The sequence below is a fragment of the Homo sapiens genome, chromosome 16 (genome assembly GCF_000001405.40).
Source record: "Homo sapiens chromosome 16, GRCh38.p14 Primary Assembly".
NCBI lineage: Eukaryota > Metazoa > Chordata > Mammalia > Primates > Hominidae > Homo > Homo sapiens.
In genome coordinates, this window is record NC_000016.10 from 67206547 (window position 1) to 67229326 (window position 22780).

The 22780-nt window shown below is 53.8% G+C and overlaps 1 protein-coding gene and 1 pseudogene across 6 annotated transcripts, besides 3 other annotated features; one reads left to right on the forward strand and one right to left on the reverse strand.

The window, feature by feature from the left end:
• Window positions 1-592: 592 nt before the first annotated feature.
• On the reverse strand, window positions 593-20479 carry FBXL9P (F-box and leucine rich repeat protein, pseudogene; annotated as a pseudogene). 3 transcript variants are annotated; one of them, NR_172488.1, is made up of 7 exons: window positions 20429-20479; window positions 17280-17381; window positions 3502-3776; window positions 1766-1909; window positions 1327-1544; window positions 1053-1227; window positions 593-958 (listed from the first exon to the last, which is right to left on the reverse strand). The product of NR_172488.1 is annotated as an F-box and leucine rich repeat protein, pseudogene, transcript variant 1 (transcript). The 3 variants fall into 3 exon arrangements; NR_172489.1 differs by lacking the exon at window positions 20429-20479 and adding an exon at window positions 20084-20256; NR_172490.1 differs by lacking the exon at window positions 20429-20479 and adding an exon at window positions 20084-20256 and having other exon boundaries at window positions 593-1227.
• Window positions 937-1504: an enhancer, noted in NCBI's record as "H3K4me1 hESC enhancer chr16:67241386-67241953 (GRCh37/hg19 assembly coordinates)". NCBI's record gives its function as "activates a minimal SCP1, AML or CMV promoter by ChIP-STARR-seq in naive H9 embryonic stem cells {active_cell/tissue: H9 hESC(naive)}" and the evidence as "EXISTENCE:reporter gene assay evidence [ECO:0000049][PMID:30033119]".
• Window positions 1505-2071: an enhancer, noted in NCBI's record as "H3K4me1 hESC enhancer chr16:67241954-67242520 (GRCh37/hg19 assembly coordinates)". NCBI's record gives its function as "activates a minimal SCP1, AML or CMV promoter by ChIP-STARR-seq in naive H9 embryonic stem cells {active_cell/tissue: H9 hESC(naive)}" and the evidence as "EXISTENCE:reporter gene assay evidence [ECO:0000049][PMID:30033119]".
• Window positions 20387-20736: an enhancer, noted in NCBI's record as "active region_10959". NCBI's record gives its function as "activates an Ori minimal core promoter by ATAC-STARR-seq in GM12878 lymphoblastoid cells {active_cell/tissue: GM12878}" and the evidence as "EXISTENCE:reporter gene assay evidence [ECO:0000049][PMID:35858748]".
• On the forward strand, window positions 20584-22732 carry TMEM208 (transmembrane protein 208). Of its 3 annotated transcripts, none has more exons than NR_134524.2 (6): window positions 20584-20678; window positions 21290-21385; window positions 21809-21868; window positions 21949-22111; window positions 22251-22335; window positions 22430-22732. NR_134524.2 is itself a non-coding variant. In NM_001318217.2 (6 exons), the coding sequence occupies exons 4-6, from the start codon at window positions 21997-21999 to the stop codon at window positions 22565-22567; spliced, it is 312 nt and encodes a 103-aa protein (NP_001305146.1). In that variant the 5' UTR covers window positions 20584-20678; window positions 21173-21385; window positions 21809-21868; window positions 21949-21996; the 3' UTR covers window positions 22568-22732. The 3 variants fall into 3 exon arrangements, 2 of the variants coding, with proteins under 2 accessions (NP_001305146.1, NP_054906.2); NM_001318217.2 differs by having other exon boundaries at window positions 21173-21385; window positions 21949-22085; NM_014187.4 differs by having other exon boundaries at window positions 21949-22085.

The window sequence follows — 22780 nt, forward strand, 5'->3', positions numbered from 1 at the left end:
TCTCTCTCTTCACCCGCACCCTGCACACTGGACTGTCCCTGCTAGCTGGCTTCTCTGCCTCCCCAGCTGGCCCTGGGGCTGGGAGAGCTTTGGCCCCTCTGAATCCCCACATAAAGCACAGTCCCTGCAGGTACTGGGGGAGCCCTGGCTCGCTGCTACAACCAATGAACAGGGATATAGACGAGGTGCGGGGACACACCAAGGGCCAGACCTGCCATGGAGAAGTCACCAGCACCATTGAGGGGGCTGGATTAGGTGACCTCTAGTGACCCCCTCACCCAGAGATGCTGGCCTCTTTCATTCTTTTCTTCTTATTTCCCCCTCAGGACAGCCTCATTGACTCAGGCATCATTCATCAGTTGTTCCTGGAATCTGGCTGGGACAAGCGCACAGCATGTACCTTTGCCTCAGGGCACACCCAGGCCTGCAGGGTCTCCTACTGTGTGGGGAAGATGCTAGGAGCCCCTGTGGGGCTGTGGGCCAGGCCTGAGGAAGGAGCGTGCCTCAGGGTTTTCTCCGCCTGCCCCAGGGCCACTTCAGCTGAAGCTGGGAGGGGAGGGGCCCTTTAGTCTGAGAACTTAAGACAAGGAGGTACTATCTGGAATGTTTAATCTTAGGATTTACAGCACAGACCTAGGCTCAGCTGCTGAAGCTCAGTGCACACAGGGTGCTGGGAGAGTCCCACAGGAGTAGGTGGAGCCCGGCCTTAGGTCTGAGAGGAGGGCAGGCAAGAGGCAGAGGCTCTGCTCCTCCCAGCACCAGACCCTGCCCGCTGGGGGCCTGGCCTCCCACCCAGGGCTTGGCCAGAGAGCAGGAGCCTGTGGCGGCAACACGTAGGTAGCATTTCCAGGGGCCTGTGGCAGCGACGTGTAGCTGGAAAGAGGCTACTGCCAGGCGGTGTGGCAGGATGTTCCCTCTGGGCTGCCCTGGATTGGCCCCACCCCCAGTCCTAGAGGGTCTGCAGTAGAGGGAGGCAAAAAGCAACCCGGGTCAAGGCCAGGGTTGGAGACTGGGGGAGTCAAGGAGGCTGTGCTGCAGGGCTGGTTACTGACCTGGCCTCAGAGTGTTAGGGTCAGGTCAGCCCCTCCCACGAAGCGGGACTGGACACAGGACACCTGGGGCAGCTGGGCTTGGAAGCGTCTGACGGCGGCCATGTTGATGCCAGGGCACGTGGCCACATCCAACACCCGGAGCTGCCTGCACGCCTGCCCAATAGCATCCAGTGTCCTGTGGGGAGGCCACCTGATGAGTGCCTGGCCCGGTGTGGGACCCAGCCCAGCCCCTGCACCGTGGCTCCATCTGCCTGGTGTCATCGGACACACTTACTGCTCTATGAGCTGACTGCAGCTGGACAGGTTGAGATGCTGCAGCCTTGGCCAGGAGCTGGCTGCCTGGGCCCAGCCCTTGTCACTGAGTCGGCTGCAGTGACTCAGCGCCAAGTGCTCCAGGCTAGGACAGCCCCTGGCCACAGCAACCAAGCCGTTGTCTGTGAGTTCTGGCAACAGGCTAAGGGACAGCTGCCTCAGCTGGAGAAACTGGAGCACCTACAAGGATGGGGAGGGTAGGGGAGAGGTAAATGCCACTGGAGCCCACAGCCTTGGCCTTTCCAGATCCTCCCACCCCAGCCAGGGCGTGACTAGAGGCAGCAGAAGCCAATGAAAAAGGAACTCCAAGGTCAACTTTTTTCCAAGCAAAAAGTGGGTTGGCCCAGACCCCTGACTTCAGCCCCCAGATCCTCAGCCTACCCGCACCCCCAGCCCCACACCTTGGCTAAACTGGCATCAGTCAGCTTGCTGCAGGCTGTGAGGTCCAACTCCTGCAGGGCCCGCAGCGTGAGCAGGGAGGGGCCCTGTGGCTCTGGACAGGCGTCCTTGGTACCTGAGGCCTGATGCTCCAGCTCTGGGCGTGACTGTGGGAAGAAGCCTTTGCTTCTCAGGTTCCTCCTGAGTTTGCCCTTAAATACTCCTACAGAGACTTGGGAGGGGCAGGAGGGCAGCTGATCCCAGGGGCCACCCCGTCCTCCAAGACCTCGAGGGTCCCACACCTGGGTCCCCTGCACAGGCTCCCCCAGCCCCCGAAGCCCCCAGTCACAGAGCTCCCTGCACCACGCCAGGCGCAGGACTGAGAGGTGGGTGAGGTAGGTGCAGATGGCCTGCAGGGTCCTGTTGGTGAGGGCCACACAGGAGGACAGGTCTAGCACCCTGAGGCTCAGGCCCAGTGCTGGGATCATGGAGAGCACTGAGGCATCCTAGGAGGGAGGAAGGGAGGAGACAGGATGGAGCACCAGCTGGTTGCCTATGCCACCTGGCCTGGCAGGGGTAGCTAGAAAGGGTCTGTTCAAGGTTCTCACCCCACAGGCAGGAGGGAGCTACCAGAGGGTCCAAGGAAGGAAGAAACATGGTCCCTGTGCTGGTAGTGAAAGTTGGGGGTGGACAGGGTGGGCCATGGGGGTTGCCACAGGAAAAAGGCCTGGACTGTGGCTGGGGCAGGAAGGATGCAGGTGGCAAGGCCTAGGGTGGCCACCCTGCCTATGCTCCCAGCCCCTGCCAAAAAAGTGAATGAGGCCACCTCAGACCACAGCTCACAACTGGACCAGCCAGTTGACCCTGCTAAGCCAATCGGAGTTGCTCCCTCTAGAGCTGGACGCAAAACAGTGAGATGTAGGTAGAGCTGCCAGCTGCCAGAGCAGTTAGGGACGGGGAGCAGGAGCTAAGGGCAGAGTAGAGGAGGCTGGTTTGTAGAGAGATGCACAGAGGGGAGCTTCAGGGACACAAGAACTTGAGGCCTGGAGGCAGCAGCTGAGAGGACACGGGGATGTTGTACTACATATCTGACGTGCTTGGTGCCAAAGAGGAGGAGTAAGGCCGGGAAGAGAGGCGCTTGGAGGGGAACAAGGTGGAGAGACGGTTTTTAGGTTGGGAATGCCCTGGTCAAATGGACAGGCTGAAGAAATAATCCGCTAAAGAGGGACAGACTGACACTGCCAAGACAGGGGTGCCACCCAGAGGGACAGCGCTGAGCCCTGCTGACGGGCCTGGCCTTGGCTAGGAAATGACCCTGCTGCTCCTGTCACATCACCCTCGCAGGCCCCGCCCCAGCACCTTCCTCAGTGCTCCTTCCCTGCCTTCCTTGCCCATCACCCCCTTTCTTCAGCCCGCCCAGCTCCAGAACACTCATCCTCAGCGCCCCTCCCCAGACTGCAGCGGTCGCCACACACTTGACATGTCAGCTGTTGGCTGCCTCGTGGGCTGGGCCACCTTGGCCACTTGGACCTCCTAGGCCCAGAATGGGGGGTTTGTGGGGGGTGTGCTGGCAGCAACAGCAGCTATCTAGGCTCTTGCCCTCCTCCAGACTGGGTCCCAAGTTCATTTCTAACTGCCAATCATAGGCATGAACACTGGGGAGTCCCTCCCTGGTGCCAAAGGCCCCCCACCACCCCGCTTCCCCTCTCCCGCTGTCCTCAGCCCTGGAGAGGAAGGAAGGGGATGATGGTGTGCTCACCTTCAATGAAGAGCAGTGGGCCAGGCTGAGGGAGGCCAGCTGGGATGGAGCCCCGTGCATACAGCCCAGGGCCTGGGCCAGTTCCCGCCCTCGGCCATGTCGAGGCTCTGCAGCTCCTGCAGGCCACCCAGAGCTGTACATCCTGCATCTGTCAGCCGCTGCAGCTTCCCCAGGCTCAGGCGCCGCAGGTGCCGCAGGCCCCGGCTCACGGCCAAGAGCGCCCCATCAGTCAGTTCTGAGCAGCCACTGAGGTCCAGGGAGGTAAGGCCTGGTTGCTGGAAGCACAGGGTAGCCACAGCCTCTGTGGAGAGGTCCCGGCAGCTGTGCAGGCTCAGCTCCTGAAGCTGCAGCCCAGCTACCTGGCCCAGAGCCTGCAGGGCCTCGGGGGGCAAGCCAGTGCCACTCAGGTCCAGGGCACGCAGCCTGCCAGCCCGCTCTTGCACTAATCGCAGCAGGTTGCAGAAGGAGAACTGGGCGGGAGAGGAGTCTTGGGGGCCGATGGAGCCTCAGGCTGGGCCTAGCTCGAAGGTGAGGTGGCAGTATGCCAAGGAGAGGCGCTCCAGGCTGGGGGCACAGCTGCTGAGCTGGTTGAAGCTGAGGTCAGCCAGGTCTCGCAGGCCAGCCAGGTTGAGCTCACGGAGGCCGCTCAAAGCCTGCTGGACGCTCTGTGCCATCTCTGGCTGAGCCAGCAGTGTGCCCGAGGTGAAGAGGCTATTGCAGCCACTGAGGTCAAGGACACACAGGGCTGGGCAGCCCAGGATCAGGGCCACAGAGGAGGCCTCTGTGGGGCTGCCTCCACCCAGGGACAAGCTCTGCAGGTGTGGGCCCAGGTGGTAAGCAACAGATTGTAGCACCTGGTGTGAAGCCAGAGAGCCATCCAGGTTGGTCAGGCTGATGCAGCAGATGCCCCTGAGGCCCAGGCTCTTGATGGCCGAGAGGGAGGCAGAGGACACGGGGATGTTGTATCGCACATCTGTCTACGGAGCAGCAGCAGGCCTGGGGGTAGCCCTCTGGCTTCAGAGGGTGCTGGGCATTGGGTTTGGTGACAAGTCACTGGCCAGAGGTTGAGGGCAGGTCAAGGAAGGGCCCTTCCACAATGGAGACCCACCATGGTGTGTGGTGTCATGTGTGGTCAAGTTGGGTATGGGTAGGAAGTGGGAGCTGGGGTTCAAAGGAGATGACCATCAGAGGAAGGCGGGAAGGTTAGCGATGGACAGGATGGGATACTGAGGGAGGGGTGGAGACAGAGTGGGGAGTTGGCATGCTGAGCACAGGAGGGCTGAGATGTGACCTAGAGGAAACCCAGTGAAGTCCCCAGGGTGTGGGAGGGCAAAGTATGCCAGACCCCAACCTTTGGGACTTTCAGAAGGAGGCCCTGAGATCCATGGACTCAGCCTCCTACTCCAGGGACTTGGCATGAGCTAAGCAGCCAGCCTCCCCCACTTTCTAGAGAGCGTAGCCCTCTGAAGAGTGGAAGGCGATAGAAGTGAGGTAGGTGTCACTCACCACAACCCTCTATGGCCCAGGTGCCAGAGGTCTGGGGCAGGCAGTGAGGCCTAAGTCCCCTGGTGGCCTGAGAGAGCCTGTCACATGAATGTTTGCAAAAATGTGTTCTGTGTGTAAGCAAAAATGTGTGCATGTGCATATATGTGTGTGTGCATGTATGTGCATGTGCATGTGTGTGTGCATGAACACGTGGAGCTGCCTGGTATTGGGCCCCGGATGCTCCAGAGTTCAAGATGTGCTTGTGATCCCTGTGGCATATCTCTGGAGGGGGCATCTATCTGTCACGGTAAGGACGCTGAAGCCTCCCATTTCCGTGGGTGGGAGCTAACAGAACACACCTCACCCGTGCCAAGGAAGTTGAGCTGGCTCTGCGTAGAGGAACAGGGGAGTGATAATGGGGAGTGCACAGCTGGAGTCAGGTGGGACCCAAGAGAAAAGCTCAGGGCTACATAGTGGGAATAAGTTGGCTTGTGCAGGCATTTAGGAGCTCCCAGCTAAGGAGATATCTTCAAAGAACTTTTCCTGATATTGCACTGGAGTGAGCCAAAGGGAAATCGGTATAATTTGTGTGGAACAGATCTCTGGGGAGAGGGAGAAGAGGGCTTGGATTCTAAAATCCTTGCCCCATCTCCCTACCTCTTGCCCATGTTGCAGGCACGTGGTACTCAAAGAGGGCTCTTGTTTGAATCAACATGGTCCTGATGCAGGAAAGAATCCTCCCCTAAACCTGTCTTGTCAGTAACTGCAAAAACAAGCTGCTGTTCCCTGCTGGTACCCCACAGACCATCATCAAAAGGGAATCCAAGCCAGGCACGGTGGCTCCTGCCTGTAATCCCAGCACTTTGGGAGGCTGAGGCGGGTGGATCACTTGAGGTCAAGAGTTTGAGACTAGCCTGGCCAACATGGTGAAACCCCATCTCTACTAAAAATACAGAAATTAGGCTGGGCGCGGTGGCTCACACCTGTAATCCCAGCACTCTGGGAGGCCAAAGTGGGCTGATCATGAGGTCAGGAGATCGAGACCATCCTGGCTAACATGGTGAAACCCCATCTCTACTAAAAATACAAAAAAATTAGCCGGGCATGGTCGTGGGCACCTGTAGTCCCAGCTACTTGGGAGGCTGAGGCAGGAGAATGGCGTGAACCCGGGAGGTGGAGCTTGCAGTGAGCCGAGACTGCATCACTGCACTCCAGCCTGGGTGACAGAGCAAGACTCCATCTCAAAAAAAAAAAAAAGAAATTAGCTGGGTGTGGTGGTGCATGCTTATAATCCCAGCTACTTGAACCTGAGAGGTGGAGGTTGCAGTGATCCAAGATTGCACCACTGCACTCCAGTCTGGGCAACACAGCAAAACTCCATCTCAAAAAAAAAAAAAAGGAATGCAGAAGGTAGAAGTGACTCACAGGATGTGCTCCTGCAAGATACTTATCAACAGGATTCTCCTAAGAAACACAGGACTCATTCCCAGGTGTGGAGAGGCCAGCCTGGCTTCTACCACAGAAAAGTGGCACCCATGGCTATAATGACAGGAAGGAGTGGTGTAAGAGACAGGAACCAGCTCCTGGCCTCTTTCACAGGAACCAGAGGTCAGCCAGGTTCCCCTTCCAGCCCCTACTTCTGGAACATGGTCATTCCAGATGAGAGGGGCACTCACCACAGGTCTCCTCGTGGGCAATGGATCGGGGATCTCAGGTGAAAGGTAGGCTGGGAAGATCCCAGTGTGTGAGGGTGGAGAGGGCAATAAAACATCAGAGAGGAATGGAGGGCATACCTCCAGCCATTCCCAAGCCCTGCAAGCTGAACGACTCCATCCCATGCAGATCAGAGGAAACTGGCTGGGGCAGGTGGGGCAGAGCTGGCTGTGAGGCAGCACCTCCTCCCCCAAGTCACACATCACTGAGGAACCCCTGAAAGTCCTGCAGGCCCCAGCTCCAGTGGCACAGCACCTTCAGGGGCTCAGCCTGACTTCTTTCCTTCCCTTCATTCTGGAGCCTGGCTGGCCAGGAAGGGTCTCTTCTCTCCCACTGCCTCCCTATGAACCAGGTGGACAAAAGACCTTGGAAGGCTCTGGCAATGCCCCAGGGCCCAAGTCCAGGGCTGGCTCCTGGCAGCAAGGCCACTCGATAAAGAAGCAGAGCCTGGCTTAAAGGACTTCTAGCTCTGGGGGTACGGAAGAGGCTTGAGACCATGTCCAGGCCCCACCATTTTTGCAGGTGGGATGGGAGCAGCCTCTAAGCCACCTCCCAGGTGGCTCCTGAGGTCTGCTCCTGAGGTCACCTGCTCCTGAGGTCATATGGACTTAAAACTGCAGGAGTTGGCCAGGTGTGGTGGCTCATGCCTATAATCCCAGCACTTTGGGAGGCCAAGGCAGGCGGATCACGAGGTCAGGAGTTGGAGACCAGCCTGGCCAACATGGTGAAACCCTATCTCTACTAAAAATACAAAAATTAGCTGGGCGTGGTGGCAGGAGTTTGTAATTCCCAGCTACTTGGGAGGCTGAGGCAGGAAAATTACTTGAACCTGGGAGGCGGAGGTTGCAGTGAGCCGAGATCGCGCCACTGCACTCCAGCCTGAGCAACAGAGCGAGACTCCAGCTTAAATCAATAAATAAATAAATAACCTGCAGGAGCCCAGGAACAGCCTTTCAGGGATATTTCTCTGTGTGAGAGAACAGCAGCAGGCTGAAGCAGGCCTTCTGGGTTCTGGACTTTGGCCCTGGTATAGGACACCCCCTTCCTGGGCCCTGGGAAGATGCTTCTAGACCCACCCAAAGAGAACTGCAAGGCCACATGCTCTAGCTCTAGCTGCCCCATCTACAGAAGGAACACCTTGCCCCCTGGTCTCCTCCCTTCCCGATGCTGGCATCTTAAGAGTAACTGCTGGCCGGGCGTGGTGGTTCATGCCTGTAATCCCTGGACTTTGCCCGAAGGCGCGCAGGTCACTTAAGGTCAGGAGTTCAAGACCAGCCTGGCCAACGTGGTGAAACCCCATCTCTACTAAAAATACAAAAAAGCCGGGCATGGTGGCAGACACCTGTAATCCCAGCTACTCTGGGGGCTGAGGCAGGAGAATCTCTTGAACCTCAGAGGTAGAGGTTGCAGTGAGCCAAGATCCTGCCACTGCACTCCAGCCTGGGCAACAGCGCGAGACTCCATCTCAAAAAAAGGAAAAAAAAAGAGTAATCGCAATATCATTTGGGAACTGCTCTGAATCTGCTACAAGTAACGTATGTACCTTTTCTGTGGGAGACCAGGGTTTTGTTGTACCTAATGAAGCCCTGAACCGAGACTGCAGGCCTGTGTACAGACTTGGAAAGCCATGTGACAGAGAAAATGGCCCTTCGTCCTGCCTAATACAGGACTCCAAAGCTACCGTGCTTGTTCTCCAGGAGGCCGTTGGGAAATGTACGCCCTGGCACCCAGGGCATTGGTCTCTAGAGAGGAGTTAGACTAGTGGGTCATACAGAGGCTGCTCCAGGACTTCATCAATCCCTCAGGCAGGGAGGGCACAAAGAGCTCTCTTCAGCTATTGCTTCATGGGGACCAACCAGCAGAGACAACCAGGGCTCCCCCAGGAACGGACAGGGCCGGTACATATGGAGGGTGCTGCCTTTGCCGGCATCCTTATTTGAGAAAATTGGGATTAAGGGAATAGGAGGGACTGGTCAGGGAAAGTAAGTCCCCAAGACCAGCGTCCTAGCCCAGCTTGGTGAGTCACCAGCTCTAGCTGGGCCTCGGTAAGCCAGTGTCTTCCACAGCACCTAACTGGTACCTAACTGCTACTGCCTCAGTATCCACCTGCCCATGCCCGAGCCCTGGGAGATGGTTCCTGCCTGCAGGGTCCCGCAGGCGCTCTCTGGCACATGGTAGGGGTGATGCCAGGTACCTGTGGCCTGGCCTCCCAGTGCTCCCAGCCTAGGTGGGGCTGAGTTTCGCAGAGGCACCAAAGGGTCTTTGTCAACATTCCTTTTTTCTTTTTCTTGTTTTTGGTTATCCCAAGGCTCTGTCATCTGTCTCTGTCCGCATTCTATCTGGAGAGCATGGTTGGCTGGAGCAGCTCCCGCTCTAAAACACTCACTCTGGCTTCCTTCTCCTTCCTCCAGCCCTGCCCAACTTGGGCTCCTCTGACTGCCCCATCTTTGCTGGGTTCCATGAGGCTTTGCCCTGTGACAACCTCTCCTCGGGGTCCTTGTTGCCCTGCCTCAGTCGTGCTGCTGTGCCCATTCTCCTGGCCCGGCCAGGGCTGGCAAGACCAGCTGCCTCCTCTGAGTCTGTACCAGGGATACAGAACTCCGCCCAGGAAGTCATGGCCTCCTTGCTCGATTCCCACCCTGCCCCAAGACTTCTCTCCAAGCCCCTCCCTCTCCAGCTCCTGGCCCTACTGATACACCCTCCCTCACCCAGGATTCTCAGGGATGGCCATCAAGTGGGAAGTCCCTCCCTTTCCCCTGTTCATGTCCACCAGCTGCCTCCAGGCAGGGCCCATCTGAACCTTCCTCCTTCTCCTGCTCTTTTGCTTCCAGAAGACTTCTTCTCCTGGCCTCCTTCTCCTGCTGCACCTTCTCCTCTGAGAACCCTGATGTTTATGCCTTTCCACTGCTCCTTCTTCAGAGGCCACAAACACCCCAGAGTCTTAAACTGCAACTAAAAGCCTCCTTTCATCCCGCACCCCTTCCTCTTGCCTCTCTTCTCTCCCCTTCCTCTACAGCCACGCTTCTTGGAAGCACACAGGCACAGGCATGCCTGCTGTCCCGCCACTCGTTGCCCCTCGCCTCACCTGCTCACCCCTCCACCCTGGCCCCCACAGGATCACGCATTCCTGGCAACAACTCCCCTCCAGCAAGGTCACCAACATGTGGGGGCTTCACCTCAGACCTCCCACAAGGGTTCTCTCTGCCATGTCACCTGCTCTGCATGGCCAGCAGCCACTCCCCTTGATGCCATCTCCACTGGGGTTCTGCAACTCTGCCCCCCTGGCTTTCCTCCTACCTTCTAGCCTGCTCTTCTTCAGGCTCTTTTGGGGTCAACAAAGAACAGAGATCCAGTCCACAGATGAGTGGGTTCCCCATGGTTTGTTCCACCCAAGAACACACACACGTGTGCACGTGCACATATGCACACGATCTTTGTGCCCCTCCGAGTGTACCCTGGCCAACTGCATTTTGCCCCATGGGGCCATCATTCCAACCACTGTCTTTCCGATCCACATGATGTTCCTGAACGCCAGACCCCGGGAGCCAAGTGCCTGACTGGCCTCTCTCCAGAGGGCACGATGCAGCATACCCAAATCTGAACTCATCATCTCATCCTCCAACTCTGCTCCTTCTAAACTCTCCCCACCCTCTATTGAGTCACCCAAGTGGGAAATTTGGGAGTGATTCTAGAATCCTCCCTCACTCCCCACATCCACAATGACCCAAGCCCCTTCCACTTTTGTTTCCCTGATACGGTGCAATCTGTCCCTCTGCTCCAACCTCACTGCTTCTGCCCTAGTTGAAGTCCCCATACTGTATGCCAGCAGCCCGAGAGCTGCTTCCTCTAAGCTCAGACCACGCCAGCTTCCTCCTTATCAGGTCCTGGCCTCCAGTTCCTCTGGCTCCAATCCATCCTGGGTTTTGTCACCATGTGACCCTTCCAAAAGGCGATTCTGCCTGTGCTCTCCAGACCCTCTGCCAGTTCCGCACGCCTCCAGGACACAGGCTAAGCTTCCTAAGCCTGCATTCAAGCCCTTCTAGGACCCAGGCCTGCTGCTTCAGCCAAGCTCTTCCCAAGCCCGTTCCCCTTCCTCCTAGTCCTGGCTCTGGGGCTGCCACTTCTGACCATTGTCCTGTACCGCACGCCTCTGCTCAGCTGCTTTTTCTGTTCTGGGGGGGTCCCACCCCTCACTGGCTCCTATTGGTCTATTTGGCAAATGTTTATTCCTCTCTCGAGTCTCAGGCCAAGCACCTCCTTCTCCATGGAGTCTTTTCTGATCTTTTCTCTGCACCCATGATGTGCCTCACACAGACTTCAAATGCAGCACCCCAGCCTCTTTTTACTCATCTGTACTCACTACACACTCCCCAGCCCTGTGCCTTCCTCAGTTTTGCCTCGCTGGTGCCCAGCACACTGCCCGGCACAGCAGAAACATTTGAGTAAGGCTGCCCACACCCTCTCTATGTGTCTCTGGTAATTTTCCATCTTCCTCCTGTCCTGTGACTGCTCCAACCCTCTCTGCTGAAGCCCTGGCCTCTATGTCTCTTTTTACTCTCCTGAGACAACCTGGTCTCCAAATCCACTGAGTGAAGGGGCCGCTGAGGAAGGAGATGCCTCTGAGGAACTTCTCTGCAAATAGCTCCATGTTTCCACCCCCACCTCTCTGCTTCCTCAGGAAGAGGTGACATCCTTTTTTTCACCAAACTGATGCTGAAAAAACAAAAAAGAAAAACACACACATACACACACAAAAAAACAAAAAAAAAAAAGGGAGAGGTGATATCCTCTCCATCCTATCCCAGATCAAGCTTGGTATGTGGAAGCCTGTCCCTGCCACCATCTTCTACACCTGACCTCTCTCCTCCCCGAATCTTCACCCCTCCTCTAGTGACTCCCTGAAGCATTTATTTATTTATTTAATTTATTTATTTACTTTTTTTTTTTTTGAGACAGAGTCTCACTCTGTCACCCAGGCTGGAGTGCAGTGGCACGATCTCAGTTCACTGCAACCTCCACCTTCCAGGTTCAAGCGATTCTCTGCCTTAGCCTCCTGAGTAGCTGGGATTACAGGCACCTGCCACCATGCCCGGCTAATTTTTTGTATTTTTAGTAGAGACGGGGTTTCACCATCTTGGCCAGGATGGTCTTGAACTCCTGACCATGTGATCCACCCACCTTGGCCTCCCAAAGTGCTGGGATTATAGGTGTGAGCCACTGCACGCGGCCTCTTTTTTTTTTTTTTTCCTTTTTTTTTTGAGATGGAGTCTTGCCCAGACTGGCTGGAGTGCAGTGGTGCAATCTCGGCTCACTGCAAGCTCCGCTTCCTGGGTTCATGCCATTCTCCTGCCTCAGCCTCCTGAGTAGCTGGGACTACAGGCGCCCACCACCACGCCCAGCTAATTTTTTGTATTTTTTTTTTTTTTTTTAGTAGAGATGGGGTTTCACCGTGTTAGCCAGGATGGGTTTTTCGTTGTTTTTTTTTGAAATGGAGTCTTGCTCTGTTGCCCAGGCTGGAGTGCAGTGACATGATCTCAGCTCACTGCAAGCCCCACCTCCCAGGTTCAAGTGATTCTCCTGCCTCAGCCTCCCGAAGAGCTGTGATTACAGGCATTCGCCACCATGCCCAGCTAATTTTTGTATTTTTAGTAGAGATGGGGTTTCACCATGTTGGCCAGGGTGGTCTCGAACTCCTGACCTCAATTGATCTACCAGCATTGGCCTCCCAAAGTGCTGGGATTACAGGCTTGTGTCACTGCACCGGGCCACCCTGAAGCTTTATTTATTTATTCATTTATTTATAGACAGGGTCTTGCTCTGTCACCCAGGCTGGAGTGCAGTGGTGTGATCTCTGCTCACTGCAACCTCTGCTTCCCAGGTTCAAGAGATTCTTGTGCCTCAGCCTCCCGAGTAGCTGGGATTACAGGTGTGCACCACTGCACCTGGCTAATTTTTGTATTTTTAGTAGAGATGGGGTTTCAACTTGTTGGCCAGACTGGTCTTGAACTCCTGGCCTCAAGTGATCCACCAGCCTCAGCCTCCCAAAGTGCTGGGATTACAGGTGTGAGCCACCGTGCCCAGTCTCCTGATGCATTCAAACACATTTCAGATTTCTCCAGAAGAGAATCCCTTTGTCTTTGTCAAACCCATCTCAACTTCTCATTTCTGCCCTATTTCTTTCTCTCTCTCTCTCTCTTTTTTTTTTTTTTTTGAGACGGAGTCTCTCTCTGTTGCCCAGGCTGGAGTGAAGTAGAGCAATCTCGGTTCACTGCAACCTCCACCCCTGGGTTCAAGTGATTCTCCTGCCTCAGCCTCCAGAGTAGCTGGGATTATAGGAACCCACCACCATGCCTGGCTAATTTTTGTATTTTAGTAGAGGGGGTTTCGCCGTGTTGGCCAGGCTGGTCTCAAACTCCTGACCTCAGGTGATCCACTCGTCTCGGCCTCCCAAAGTTCTAGGATTACAGGCATGAGCCACTGTGCCTGACTTGCCCTATTTATTTCCTTCTTTCTGTAGAGAAATTTCTTTTTTTTTTGTTTTTTTTTTTTTTTGAGATGGAGTTTTGCTCCAGCCCAGGCTGGAGTGCAATGGCACGATCTGGGCTCACTGCAACCTCCGCCTCCTGGGTTCTAGCGATTCTCCTGCCTCAGCCTCCCGAGTAGTTGGGATTACAGGCATGCGCCACCACACCCAGCTAATTTTTGTATTTTTAGTAGAGACAGGGTTTCACCATGCTGGTCAGGCTGGTCTCAAACTCCCAACCTTAGATGATCCGCCCACCTCGGCCTCCCAAAGCGCTGGGATTACAGGTGTGAGCCACTACGCCCGGCCAAGAAATTTCTTGCCAGCGAGGTCACGCTCTACACTTCCTACTTCTCTCATTCACTCCTCAATCCACCTGGCTTATTTTTCCAGATGCCAAATATCACTGAAGCCATTGGTGGCCTCCTTGGATAACATATCTCATGGACAATATTTGTTCTTCATTTTGCTGGGCTTTTTGTGGGATCTGACATTGTTAATCATCCATTCAATCCTTTATTTATGTATTTTTTTTTGAGACTGAGTCTCGCTTTGTCGCCCAGGCTGGAGTACAGCGGCTAGATCTCGAATCACTGCAACCTCCACCTCTCTGGTTCAAGTGATTCTCCTGTCTCAGACTCCTGAGTAGCTGGGACTATAGGCGTGAGCCACCACGCCCGGCCTCATTCAATCCTTTAAATGCTCTCCTGCTCTCCTGCCTTTGACGTCTGTGCCCTCCTCTCTCTGAGAGCTCCTCATTCCCCTCTTTGGGTATCTCCTCCTTTCTGTGCCCTTGGACTTGTGTCCTCTCCTGGGGCTTCTCTGTGGCCTGCTGTTCTGTGGCTCTGCATGTTCTCCCCGGGGGAAGTTACTCAGATCTGTGGCTTCAACTGCCACCTATTCTTTAATGACACTCAAATCTATATTTATTACCCAGATATTTCTCTTGAATTCCTCACTCAGAAATGCAACTACCAAGTGGATCTCAACATCTAGATCCTCACACTTCAAACTTTCAACATGTCCAAAATAAAATTCCTTTGGACAGTGAGATGAATGTCACTGTATACATAATTCAACAAAAGAATCTACTTATAGACTCATATTTAATAGGGGATAGAGGATTCCAACCAAACAGAGAAGGAGAAGATTAGATGTAAATGGTGTTCGGGCTCTTTGAAAATTAATCAGTTTAGCTTCTTACCTCATAACATAAATCTAAATAATTTTTACCAATAAAAACATTAACACAAAAATTCAAACCAGAAAGCAGAAGAGACAGTTTTGCTGTAAACCTAAAACTGCTCTAAGTAATAGAGTCTATTTAAGAAAAACAGAAGAAAAGTGTAAAAGGGCAAGGAATCATTAAGTTTAGAAAACAATGGAAGAAGTGAAAAAGAAAAGGATGTTCAGAATCAACAACAGAGAAATTTAACTTCTGGGCCAGGCATGGTGGCTCATGCCTGTAATCCCAGCACCTTGGGAAGCTAAGGTGGGCAGATCTCTTGAGCCCAGGAGTTTGAGACGAGCCTGGGCAACATGGTGAAATCTCGTCTCTGTTAAAAATATAGGCTGGGCGTGGTGGCTCACGCTTGTAATCCCAGCACTTTGGGAGGCCGAGGCGGGAGGATCATGAGGTCAGGAGATGGAGACCATCTTGGCTAACACAGTGAAACCCCATCTCTACCAAAAATACAAAAAAAAAATTAGCTGGGCGCGGTGGCGGGCGCCTGTAGTCCCAGCTACTCGGGAGGCTGAGGCAGGAGAATGGCGTGAACCTGGGAGGCGGAGCTTGCAGTGAGCCAAGATCTCGCCACTGCACTCCAACCTGGGCGACAGAGCGAGACTCCGTCTCAAAACAAACAAACAAACAAAAAACATATATATATATAAATTAGCCAGGCATGGTGACATGCATCTGTAGTCCCAGCTACTCAGGAGGCTGAGGTGGGAGGATCACCTGAGCCTGGCGAGGTCGAGGCTGCAGTGACCTGTGATTGCACCACTGCACTCTAGCCCAGGCAACAGAGCAAGACTCTGTCTCAAAAACAAACAAATGAAATTTTTAAAAAATTAAATCAAATTAAAATTTTAAAGAGAGGCCAGGTTTGGTGACTCACACGTGAAATCCCAGCACTTTGGGAGGCCGAGGTGGGTGGATCATGAGGTCAAGAGATCCAGACCATCCTGGCCAACATGGTGAAACCCCATCTCTACTAAAAATATAAAAATTAGCTGGGCGTGGTGGTGCATGCATAGTCCCAGCTACTCGGGAGGCTGAGGCAGGAGAATTGCCTGAACCCGGGAGGTGGAGGTTGCAGTGAGCTGAGATCATGCCACTGTACTCCAGCCTGGTGATGGAGCGAGACTCCGTCTCAAAAAAATAAATAAATAGAAATAAAAAAAGAAGCGCGGCACAGTGGCTCACGCCTGTAATCCCAGCACTTTGGGAGGCCAAGTGGGTGCAGATCACTTGAGGTCAGGAGTTCGAGACCAGCCTGGCCAACATGGCGACACCCCATCTCTACTAAAAATACAAAAATTAGTCAAGTGTGGTGGCACACACCTGCAATTCTGGCTACTTGAGAGGCTGAGGCAGGAGAATTGCTGAGGCGGAGGTTGCAGTGAGCCGAGATTGCGCCATTGCACTCCAGCCTGGGTGACAGAGCAAGACTCCATCTAAAAAAAAAAAAAAAAAATTAGCTGGGCATGGTGGCGTGTGTCTGTAATCCCAGCTACTTGGGAGGCTGAGGCAGGAGAACTGCTTGAACCCAGGAGGCAGAGCTTGCAGTGAGCCGAGATAGCGCCACTGCACTCTAGCCTGGGCGACAGAGCAAGACTCTTATCTCAAAAAAAAAAAAAAAAAAAAAAAGAAAAAGAAAAAGTCCATACAAATGGAATAGAAAAATACTAAGACCTTAATAGTTAAATGGATACAGAACATGAATAAACAAAAGGGGGAAATATGAAGGGTGAACTAATGAGAAAAACAGTGCAACCTCACTAATAAACAAATCAAAATTAAAACAATGAGCCATCACTGCCTGCCTTTCAAACTAGCCCAGATGTCTGCATTCACCTCCTGGCTGGCCTCCTCCCTATGCTGTCTCACTCTCCCAGTCCACTCTGCACTGCAGAGTTCTAATACAAATCACGCTGTGTCACTTGCCTGCCTAATGGGCTCCTTGATGGTCACCAGGAGAAAGCCAAACTCTGCTGCCTGGCACATCTGCCAGCTTGCAGCCTGATGCCATTCTAGCCTCGCCTCCTGCCATGTCTCACTTAGTTCCAGCCAAATGGAACTTGTGTGATTGGTTCCACACCATGGTGCCTTCACTTATGCTATTACTGATCCCAGAAGCCCAACCTTTCTTCTCATCCTGTTCCTTCAGGAAGCCTTCCCTGACACCACCAGTCTCCTCTGGATGTCCTTCTTCATGTTCCGTCAAACTCTTTTTTTTTGAGACAGAGTCTCGCTCTGTTGCCCAGGCTGGGGTGCAGTGGCGCGATCTCGGCTCACTGCCATCTCTGCCTCCCGGGTTCAAGCGATTCTCCTGCCTCAGCCTCCAAGTAGCTGGAACTACAGGTGCACACCACGCCACCACACCCAGCTAATTTTTGTAATTTTAGTAGAGACAGGGTTTCACCATATTGGTCAGGCTGGTCTCGAGCTCCTGACCTCAGGTGATCTACCCGCCTTGGCCTCCCAAAGTGCTGGGATTACAGGCGTGAGCCACTGCGCCCGGCTGTCCCCGTCGAACTCTTTCTTCCCAGTGTCACAGCGCTGAGCACACGATAGCATGATCATTCATATTACTCGTCTTTCTCCTTCACTGGAATGTGAGCTCCTTAGGGAACTATGTCTTATTTATCTGTATAGCCCCAGCACTGTACCCAGAGCCAAGTATGTATGAATGTATGTATATATGTGTATGTATGAGCATATGAATGGATGGATGGATGGATGGATAGATGGATGGAGATACATGAGCAGGGCCACGAGTAAGCTGAAGTAAGAAACACCTGAGGATGGGACGGGGGAGGGTGGGTGCCTTACCTCCCGAAGGGCATTCTGGGCAGCACGGTACCAAGCCCAACTCACGAGGGAGGCCTCTTTCTGATCTGACAGAGGCAGGAAGCTCAGAATATATGTGAGCATCTGAGGGAAAAAGACAGGGCATTGGGGACTGTTAGAGGTGGGAGGTCTTTGGAACCCACTCCAGCTGACAGCACCATGGGTCTGAGGGCACCAGAGCCCTGGCTTCTACTTTATCTTGGATGTGAAGCTTCACGAAGCATTCACTTCCCCGCTCCAGGCTTCAGGTATCTTTCCTGTAAACAAACCTTTCCTGAGCTGGGTGCAGGCTTGCACTGACTGATAAGAATCAAACTTCCTGCCTAGCTGGGTAGAAAAAGCCTGGGCATTGAGGCCAGATAAACCTAGTTCAAATCTCTACTCTGCCAACTGACCTCTCGAACTTTGTTTTCCTTATCTGTGAAATTGCAATTGTAGTGAGATTTAAATGGATTATTGTGAGAATTAAAGAACACAGCCAAGTGTCTTGCATAGGACCTAGAGCACAGCAGGCCAGGTGTGCTCACTCTGGTCCTCAGGAAGTCATGCTTGGTCCTCCTGCCCTCATGGCTCAGGCTCTGGGACCCTGCTGTTTTTCTGTCTTCTTCACTGCCACCTTGCCCTCTCCACTGGTTGTTAAGATGCGCTCCCAGCAAGACCTAGCCTGGGAGGCTCAGGCCCTTCCCCCCACCTAGGGGGTGGTGAGGTTAGAGGTCCTAAATGGGACTGGGGAAGGGGTTACCAGTGAGGCCTAGAATGATTTGATATTAACTCTTCTTTTCTTCTGGAATCTTCCTCCCTGCATCCCAATTGTCTCGTTTTTGGATTCTTCTGTGGCTCCCAGGGCTCAGACCTGGGTCTTTTGGTTTTCTGTTTACCAACACAGGAATAACCAACAATTCAATATTCCCATATTGTCCTATTATCCAAGTGCTAGTCCATATTGCCAACTGTCCATGCAAATGTTTAGCCATCACTTTAATCTCAACCAAAACTCATGTTCTACCCTCAGCCCAAAACAGCCTCTCCTCCCAAATTCCCCTTTCAATGCCAACAGTGCATCTACCTGATAACACTTTCAACTATTCAAACCATTCTGTCCCTTCCTCCCAGATACAGGTGTAATGCACAGGCTTTAGGCCAGGCTAACCTAAACTCATTCAAATTCCAGCTCCACTACTTCCACATATACTGATGTGTGACCTTAAACAAGGTACTTGACCTCTGGGAGTTTCAGTTTCCATATCTATAAAATAGGGATACTTTAAAAAAATCTAGATCATAGCCTCATGGGGATTAAATTTTACATATATATAGTGTGTGTGTGACAACTAGATGTTCCATAAATGGTTGCTGGATTGCTGTTACTAAAATTTCTACCTCTGCAACTTCCCCACCTCAGTAGCTCAGATTTCTACCACCCCAAACCTGGATTCCTTCCACAATCTCCCACCTGAACTCTTTGCCTCCAAGTTCATCCTTGCTAATACATTATGCACACTGTCACAAGGTTAATTTTTCCTATAAAACAGTTTTCAGTTTCAGCTCACCCCTGCTGTAAAACTTCAGGGTTCACAGTACTCTCAGGACAGTCTCCACTCCTGGATCAGCACTGCCAGGCCTCTGTGCCTGATTGGACTCGCTGGTCCCCAAACTTCCCCAGTCCAGTCTCCCCATTGCCCTACGCACACAGCATGTCTATTTCCTTTTGCCTATGCGGGCCTTTTCCCTGGGATCCCCTTCTTGAAGCTTAACTTCACCAACCCATTGTGATCTCTCCTTCCTTTCTCAGATGCCAAGCACGCAGGCACAGTGCTCAGCCAGTGCTTACTGGATTAAATTAAGGTTGGACAGTCCAGTCCTCTACCTCTATTTTCACCAAGAGTATGCTCAGGGAAGGGGTCGGGGAAATAAAGCAGTCATTACTGAGAGGACAATGACTGGCAGAATAGACTTCTGGGCCAGGAAGGGAGGCATAGGGAAGACAGTATTGATGGGGACTGGGACTGACCAAGTCCCAATCCCTCCAGGGAGGCACGGAAGCCTGTTTGAGCTGAGTTAAGACAGTGGCCATCCTGTCTTCTGGGGCTAAGCAGCCAGCCCAAGAGCAAAGGGAGAGGGGAACAAACCTGTCATCCCTTGGGGTGAGTCGGGAAGGGACACAATTCATTGACCTAAGAAGAGGGTGGCCTTTCTAGAGGGACAAGAGGAGGCAGTGATGAGGATGGAGTGACCATCCCATGAGTCCCATCTCAAGGGGGCTACTGGAGATAATGATTGGTCACTCATGGGGTCTATGGGGATGGAAATAGATAGCCCCTAAAGCTAAGGGGGAAAGGGATAGCACTGCAAGCTCAATAGGGGTGGGAACAGGCCTATTTTTGCTAAGGACAGGAGCATCATTCCAGGACCGATGGGAAAGGGTGGCCTGTTTCCCATGGGCAGAGAGAGGGGGCTGCCAACCCTCAGGACAAAAGAGATGGAGAAGCCATTCCAACAGGCCACTGAAGACAAAACCTGTTATCTCCCTGGCAGATGGGGCAGAGTGGTCTTGCCCCTGGCTAAGGGGAAGGAGCAAACATCCCACGGAGTGAAAGAGGTAAGGGCGGCCATCACTAGGGGCCTAGGAATGGGGAACAGGCCTATCCTTGTTAAAGGAACTCAGAGATCATTGCAGTTGATGGGGAGGGAGCAGTCTGTTTCCCACTGCCAGGGAGAAGGGGCGGCCGTCTCTGTAGGAAATGGAGAGATCATCCCAAGGGACCAATGGGGATAAGATCAGTTACCCTTCGGGACGATGAGATGGAGCGGACATCTTCCAGAACTGAGCGGGGAGGAGACAGCCACTTCAAGGGAAGGGGATGGGCAGAGGGCCTGTTCTCGCGGAGATGACAGGGCAGCTATCTTCTGGGGCCGATAGGGAAGGGGAGGACGGTCCCCCAAGCTAAAGGGACAGAGTGGCCCAAAGGAGGAACCGTTACCCAGAGCTAGAAGGTCCCGGGATCGGGAGGGCGGGTCGTTTCCGCCAGGCTGGAGGGGCCGGGCTAGCTATCTGACAGCCCCTCCCCAAAGCTCAGGACCGCGAGGGCGGGGCCTGTCCAGAGCTAGGCCTGAGGGCGGCTTCCTCTCACCTCCAGGGGCAGCGACTCCGCCATCGCATCCCTGCCGCCTCCGCCCCCACTGCGCAAGGCTTTCTGGGAAATGTAGTCTCGCCTCTTTGGGGCGGGGCTTGGGAAGGAAGTGAGACCTATTTCCGTCGCAAAAGCTGACGACTTCGGTCTGCGCCGGAAGTGCATGAGCTGCCGATGTGGTGCTTAGTGATTGCGGTTTCGGTCGCTCTCCCGTGTTTCCCGGGCTGGGTATTTGCCTCGCACCATGGCGGTAAGGAGGATGGATAGGGCGGGGTCCGCACCAGCAAAGCTCTCCAGGGGCTGTGAGAGTGAAAACTGAGAAAGAACATTAAGGGATATGGGGTGGGCCAGAGCGGGGCGCCATCCCTGGCCAGACCGTGCTAGAGCTGGGCTGGGGGGATGGCGGCGCAGGACCATACCAGGACTAGTGCCAGAGCGGGGTGGGCATCAGTACCAGGGCAGGCCAGAGATCTAAGTGACCTGAGGTGGGGGTTAACCCAGATCGGGACTACGCCAGCGGAGGCCTGAGAGAGGCACCATTCAACTCCGCTCAGGAGTACCCTTGGAAGAGTCGTTAGCCTAAAGCCAGACTACCACGGGATCCAGAGGCGGTATTAGCTTAGGATTGAATTGTTCCAGGGCGAGCAAGAGGCGATTGATCCTAGCTGCGGGTGCTGGAGAGATGGCGTCAGCCCTAGGCAGAATGGACTGGAGGATGGGTGGACATCCCAGGGATTTTGCTAGGTTTCTGCACTACGGGGACCTGGCTGAGTTGCGGATGGAGCTCTATAGCTCACCAGGCTGGTGGGGAGAATGAGGAGGACCGTGGCCTCCTGACGGCATCTCATCATTCCTCTGCAGCCCAAGGGCAAAGTGGGCACGAGAGGGAAGAAGCAGATATTTGAAGAGAACAGAGAGACTCTGAAGTTCTACCTGCGGATCATACTGGGGGCCAATGTAAGTGCCTACCTCCTTGCTTCTATGCCCACTTATAGTCAGTTCCCTAGTCCTCAGCCCTGCTTGGTGACGAGGAGTGGTACCCGAAAAAGCTCTAGAAGAGAGCTCCAGTCAAAAAGAAATGAGAGATCTGGGCACAGAGAAAGTGCTAACTAGTAAAACACAAAGAAAATGAAGGCGTGAGTCGTAGCTGAATTTGAGAGCTCTTCCTACCTCCAAGTACACAAAGGCTTCTTTCCTGGGCTGAGTTGGGTGTCAGAGGAGAGTGGGTATTTGGGATTCAGGGAGCAGGGCCCTTTCTTCAACCCTGTAAGAACAACCTTGCTCCTCCCACAGCCTGGCCTAATTCTTGGTCAGAGTTGAGGGAGACCCATGGTTTGGAGGTAACTTCTGACCCCAACCTGATCCTGTGATTGCTTGCAGGCCATTTACTGCCTTGTGACGTTGGTCTTCTTTTACTCATCTGCCTCATTTTGGGCCTGGGTAAGTATCTCCATCCTGGGAGGTGGATGAGTGCGTAGGGTCAGTGGCTGGCCTTTGATACCCTCATTCTTGCTCTGCAGTTGGCCCTGGGCTTTAGTCTGGCAGTGTATGGGGCCAGCTACCACTCTATGAGCTCGATGGCACGAGCAGCGTTCTCTGAGGATGGGGCCCTGATGGATGGTGGCATGGACCTCAACATGGAGCAGGGCATGGCAGAGTGAGTGTCCCCCACCGCCAGCCCAGGTGAGCGGCCCCAGGGCTGGGGCCCAGATAGCCCAAGAAGCACAGCTACTTGTAACTTGAAAAGGGTGGAAGGGAGTTGCAACTTGAAAAGGGTGGAAGGGCCCATATGCTGTCTTTCCAGCTTTATTTCTATCCACAGGCACCTTAAGGATGTGATCCTACTGACAGCCATCGTGCAGGTGCTCAGCTGCTTCTCTCTCTATGTCTGGTCCTTCTGGCTTCTGGTATGTGGGCTGGGGGCGCTCCCAAGAAGGGGCATCTAACCCTCCCCATCTTTTATTCCCTGCATCTTGCTTCAAGTTACCGTTTCTCTTGTAGGCTCCAGGCCGGGCCCTTTACCTCCTGTGGGTGAATGTGCTGGGCCCCTGGTTCACTGCAGACAGTGGCACCCCAGCACCAGAGCACAATGAGAAACGGCAGCGCCGACAGGAGCGGCGGCAGATGAAGCGGTTATAGCCATTGACATTGTGGCCACAGGCCACTGGCCCTGGGTGGCTCTGTCAGGGTGCACAGCCCCTCATGCCTGGAGCAATGAGGGTCTAGTCCAGGGGCCAAAAGCAGTCTGAGGTATTGGGTATACTTATACTCTATAGGGTCGTTGAATAAATGGCTTAGAATGTGGCTGATGGCTGTGTGGGTGATGAGGGATGAGGCAGGAAAAGCTGGTCC